The sequence below is a fragment of the Homo sapiens genome, chromosome 10 (assembly GCF_000001405.40).
Source record: "Homo sapiens chromosome 10, GRCh38.p14 Primary Assembly".
Lineage (NCBI taxonomy): Eukaryota > Metazoa > Chordata > Mammalia > Primates > Hominidae > Homo > Homo sapiens.
Window position 1 is genome coordinate 49,982,173 of NC_000010.11, and position 6,090 is coordinate 49,988,262.

Consider the following 6,090-nt stretch of genomic DNA (forward strand, 5'->3'; position numbering starts at 1 on the left):
GAGAGACCTGAACTGAACTGATAGGAAGTGAAAGGTGGCTGAGGTAATGAGAATAGACCCATCTGCAGAGGATCATAAAACCAGCAAAGACAAGATCTTGTCTAAGATGCCTTCACAAACTTTGTCCATGAGAACTCTAAGGACTTCTCCAGACCTGTTGGCTGCTGCTGTGATCTCTGCCCAAGAGGAGCCTCTGACCAACATCCAAAGGGCTTCTGGACCCACTGGACTCCTCTGGAGGTACCTTGGTCTCCCGATCCATGGCTGTGGTTTTTTACTCCGTTTATCACTGCCTGTGTGTAGAATGATAATTGCACAATTGATAGTGTGAAGACCTCTTGATAAATGGTGAATCTGAGCATATGTATTTGGCTGACATGTCATTGTGAAACCTCACAGCTTCAGTCAGTGTCAGCACAGCTAGGGAGCATGTACCTAATGCACATATCACTGGGCATAGTCTACAGGCACCTAATAACTCAGGTACCTTAACAGTCACTAATGAGTGTCTCTCCAAGGTCTAAACAATGGAAGACTGTAGAAGATGTTATTCATTAAGATATCTCAAGAATGTGGAAGACTATTATTCGCTTCTAAAGGGACAGGACTTCATAGGGCACCTGAAGAAACTCCCATGAAAAATCACTTTTACAAAATGTCAAGTTATGATATCCAAGATGAAACCAATGAGTCACAACATTCACATAATACACTGTACAACCCTGATCTCTTGACTGTCATCAAATGTTTCTTACCTCTAAACCAAAGTTTCATTTTATAATTTAATTTTTCTCATTTTTTCTGTTCTCTTAGCTTAAGAAAAGATCATTACAAACTTTTTGTAAGTTTTTCATATATGCTTGCAAAGGGTTGTAAAACTTTATTGTGATTATTCTTGCTTTAAGCTGAAACTTCCCTAATCTTTCTTTAGAGATTGTGGCATAGCATGATAGTTTCTTTTCCATATCCAATTGTTTTCTGTAATGAATACAGAAATATGGGCACTATTTTGTAACTTTAAATAGACATCATCTCAAGTCTACAAGAATTATCCAAAATGGTATTTAATGACATTTCTAGGTCTTCAGACACTATTAATGCAGATTGTACCCTCTAGGTCCTGAAGATTTTACTAGATACTGGTTACTGAAACTGAGCTTTCTTGAATTATTTTTCCTTCCACTGTGGTTTCCCGCATTTCAACACATCACCTATTTTTGTCCTCAAACATTACTTAAATTTTTTCCACAGAATTAAATTAAATATGAATCATCCCTCCTCTGATTTTTGAAATGACCCTTTGCTTCCTATGATAATGATTCTTCTGGTCCGTTTTGTAGTTATATGTTAGAGTTTGTAAATAGTCACACATTTTGCAACTGCATATAATTTTCTTATTATTTTTTCCTCTTCCTCTAAACCTGCTGTTATTTCTTTTAACTTTTTGTGGGAAAAATTAAACCCATCTTTCACTTTGTTGATATACTTATTTATAATTGAACTCCTTGATTTTTGCTCGAATTGCTTTTCAAGTTACCCACTTTTAGGGAAGACATTATTTGGGTTTTGTTTAGTGTATCAGGCTTTTTTTAGTTAGTTGTATCAAGAAGTGTAGACTTTTCTATACATAATATCCTTTTTCCCACAGTAGTTTTGTTTTTTTGTTTTGTTTTTTTGTTTTTTTTTTTAAAGTCTAGCCGGGTGCAGTGGCTCACGCCTGTAATCCCAGACTGTGGGAGGCCGAGGCGGGCATATCACGAAGTCAAGAGACGGAGACCATCCTGCCTAACACGTTGAAACCCCGTCTCTACTAAAAATACAAAAAATTAGCTGGACATGGTAACGGGTGCCTGTAGTCCCAGCTAATCAGGAGGCTGAGGCAGGAGAATGGCATGAACCCAGGAGGCAGAGGTTGCAGTGAGCCGAGATCGTGCCACTGCACTCCAGCCTGGGTGACAGAGCAAGACTCCATCTCAAAAAGAAAAAAAAAGTCTGTTAAAATAAAGGTCATCAAAAGATCTTTTCCTAAACCTTTCCTTTACCAGAAATATCTCTAGAGTCACATGGTCCTTTCTCCCTTCTTGCTTTTGTAGGAGTCCAAAGCTAATCTGTCCCTGATCCGGATTGCAGGCACCTGTGCCTTTTGGGGCCCTTCTGCATTAGTTCTTCCTTCTCTTCTAACCTCAAAAATGTGTTTTCTCTGTTGGCTCTTTCCCTTTAACATAGAAGTATACTCACGCTTTTGTTGAATCTTGGAATAAAAGTCTTCCTTTACCACATATCTCCCTTTAATACTACATCTCTCTTCTCAGCCAAATACTTGGGAAGAGAAGCCCTGAGTTTGTGTCATTGTTTTCTCACCTCCAGTTCACTACTTTACCCACTGCCTGACATCCAGCTCGCTCACACACACACACACAAGCCCAGTCACTAAGTTGCCATAGCTAATTTGTAGCTTTCCTGCCCTCCTGGCAAAATTTGACTCTGCATTGGGATAATACATGTTGAGTACCTATTGAACAGGCACTGTGCTAGGTGCTGCTGTTATAGATATGAAAAGAAGGCATCATCTCCTTTCTAACAACTCACAGGAGCAGCCATTCCTGATTCATATGCAGGTCTCTTGAGTCTCATTGCTCACTTTTGCAAGCTTCACTTAATGCCGTGCAAATCACCCTATTCTCCAGGTCTTCTTTCTTCCCAGTTCTCCTTACTATACACAACTTCTCAGGGCAGTCACCTCCACACCCATGGCTTCAATTGCTTTCTCCATTCTCTGAGAACAATAGAATTTTAAATGGCTTTTTTTTCATGTATTAGCTTTATTTTATACAAGGTGCCTCACTTGCTGTAACCATAGATTCAAAGTTGCTCCATGAAAGTAATAAATGAAAAATGGTGATTTTTTTAGCATGTAAATTTTAGGAAATTTCCCCAGTTACGCTTAATGGCTTGATTTAGTATGTATGTTATTTTTGAAAACATATGTTGGGATGTCACAAATGGACTTAGCCTACAGAGGTTTATATTCAACTTTTGACCAGAGAGTTCCATTTTAATGTGACACTGAGAGTAAAAAACTATCTTTTCCTCCTTACCTATTTCTCTTCCTACATTCTCGGCCAGGAGGAAGGCACTGCTACATACCCAGTCTTCCCCAGCAGAGCCTGAGCAGCTCTGTTTTCCTTCTACTTCCCCTCTTCTTTCACATCTCATGACCAAGCACTTCCTATTCTGTCTCCCAAATGATCATAGACTTTTTCCTCCGCTTTTGTCACTGCCACTGCCCTTAGCATTACTCTGCCTTTAGAGAAAGTCTCTTAATTTGTTTGGTTGCTTCCTTCAGTCCTTATTGTACAGACCACTACACACACATCTGACAGAGACTTTTCACCTTTTCATGGTTCAATGACTGAAATTCCCAGAATAAAATTAAAACCACCCCAGCATCAAATTTGAGGTCAAATAGAGGTGGGTTTGTATCCCAGGTTCATATACTGTCCAGCAGTATGGTCTCAGAAAACTGACCTCCTTAAGGCTTTGTTTGTGTATCTGCCTACACTCATTGAGAGTTGGGACTATTTCACACATACAGTGCCTGGCATGTAGAAGGGACTTAATCAATGTTGAAAGAAGGGGAGGCATTTTAAAATCCACATCAAAAAAATGTTGTTCTGTTCGGGAGTGGTGGCTCATGCCTGCAATCCCAGCACTTTGGGAGGCCAAGGCAGGTGGATCACCTGAGGTCAGGAGTTCGAGATCAACCTGAACAACATGGTGAAACTCCATCTCTACTAAAATACAAACATTAGCTGAGCATGGGGTTGGGCTCCTGTAATCCCAGCTACTTGGGAGGCTTAGGCACTTGAATGAGAATCACCTGGACCCAGGAGGTGGAGGTTGCAGTGAGCAACGATTGTGCCACTGCCTGGGCAACAGAGTGAGACTCTGTCTCAAAAAAAATAAAAAAAAAAATTCTTTTAAAAATATACGAATCTGGCTGGGCACGGTGGCTCATGCCTGTAGTCCTAGCACTTTGGGAGGCTGAGGCGGGCCTGACCAACGTGCAGAAACCCCGTCTCTACTAAAAATACAAAATTAGCTGGGCATGGTGGCGCATGCCTGCAATCCCAACTACTTGGGAGGCTGAGGCAGGAGAATCGCTTGAGCCCGGGAGGCGGAGGTTGCAGTGAGCCAAGATCATGCCATTGCACTCCTGCCTGGGCAACAAGAGAGAAACTCCGTCTCAAAAAAAAAAAAAAAATAGTGTTCAGCAAGGTTGAAGCATAAAAGGTTAATAGCCAGAATCATTTATCAATTGTATTTCTATACATCTACAAGACACAATCTGAAAATGAAATTAGAGAAACAATTTCACTGGGCAACAAGAGCAAAACTTCATCTCAAAATAATCATCATCATCATCATCATCATCATCATCATCATCTACAATGTCATTTCCCATCCAAGCTTGACTTCTACCTTTACTTTCTGATATGGTTTTGCCATGCCCCCACCCAAATCTCATCATGAATTATAATCCCCATAATCCTGATGTGTCGAGTGAGGGGCCTAGGGGGAGGTGATTGGATCACGGGGGCAGTTATCCTCATGCTGTTCTTGTGATATTCAGTAAGTCCTCATGAGATCTTATAGGGTTTTGTTTTGTTTTGTTTTTTGGGATGGAGTCTTGCTCTGTTGTCCAGGCAGGAGTGCCATGGCACGATCTTGGCTCACTGCAGTCTCTGCCTCTTGAGTTCCAGTGATTCTCCTGCCTCAGCCTCCTGAGTAGCTGGGATTACAGGCATGCACCACCACACCCAGCTAATTTTTGTATTTTTAGTAGAGACAGGATTTCACTACATTAGCTAGGCTGGTCTCAAACTCCTGACCTCAGTTGATCCACCTGCCTTGGCCTCCCAAAGTACTAGGGTTACAAGTGTCAGCCACCGTGCCCAGCTGAGATCTGATGGTTTTATACTTGTTTGACAGTTGCTCCTTCACATGTTCCCACTCTCTGTGCGGCCACCATGTAAGTCGGACCTGCCCTTCTGCCATGATTGTAAGTTTCCTGAAGGACTTCCCCCTCTGCCATGATTGTAAGTTTCCTGAGGCCTCCCCAGCCATGTGAAACTGAGTCAGTTAAACCTCTTTCCTTTAAAAATTACCCAACCTCAGGTATTTCTTTATCAGTGTGAAAACAGACTGCTATACTTTCTGATAATCATGCTTAAGCAATTGGGGAATTCAGACTAGCTGGGATCAAACTATGGCCCCACCCTTAGCAGTCATGTGACCTTGGGGAGGTTACTTACCTTCTCCGTCTCAACAACTTCTGTAAAATCTGTAACATGAGATTGTTTCTGAGGGTTAAATGAGCATAGCACAGTGGGGACACTGTCAGGCACACACTACTTGCCAGATGTCGAGTATTCCTCTTTATTGAAATAGGACTGTGGTAAGCCACTTTATGGCTCTCGATTGTGTATGAGAAAATCATGCTTAGTGCCTTGTTAGTAAAAGAAAGAAAACCTGAAAGTCCCTGCCATGGAAGGAAGAAATAGCGGGGAGAAAAGGGAGTTGGTAAGTTTCAGCATTTCAGAGCTTGGAGGGGCAAGTTAGGTTTCTATTTTATGGAGAAGGAGGTGGAGGCAGGATGGGTCCTAAGGTGTCATTCAAAACACACAGCCATAACTCTTTATTGAGAGTAGAGCTAGGGCCCCAGGGATTGCTGTGGTCAAGTTGCGGACAAAAATGACCACTCGTTGGAAGACAGGAGAGGAGTGTTTAGTTACAAAAGCAGTCAACAATTCAGGTGTATCTATATTCAGTCAGCAAATAAAAGTTGTTCAACTTGGTTGCTAATGGGACCCACTCTACTGAGGCTTTGTATAGAACTCATAGAGGAAGATGGCTTCAAGGAATGAACTACCCTGTGCTTTTCTTAGGACTAAAATCTCAGGAAGCTGGTGATGAATGAAAACCTTAGTCCCAATGGCACTGCACGAGGGGCCAGGAGAGCAGCAGCATCATAAGCCACAGGGTGGGGCAGCCAAGGCAGGGGCATTCTGAGCTGTTGGGGAGGGGTGG

General features: G+C 42.0%; 1 long non-coding RNA gene across 7 annotated transcripts in view; it reads left to right on the forward strand.

The window, feature by feature from the left end:
- TIMM23B-AGAP6 (TIMM23B-AGAP6 readthrough (NMD candidate)) overlaps positions 1-6,090 on the forward strand; it is a 68,464-nt gene that overhangs the window by 40,120 nt on the left and 22,254 nt on the right. For 2 of the 7 annotated variants that reach the window (NR_158660.1, NR_158658.1), the window contains one exon: positions 4,993-5,062. The exons of the other annotated variants lie outside the window; for them this stretch is intronic. This is a non-coding gene — a long non-coding RNA (TIMM23B-AGAP6 readthrough (NMD candidate)). The remainder of the gene's footprint in view (positions 1-4,992; positions 5,063-6,090) is intronic. 7 annotated transcript variants of the gene reach the window in all.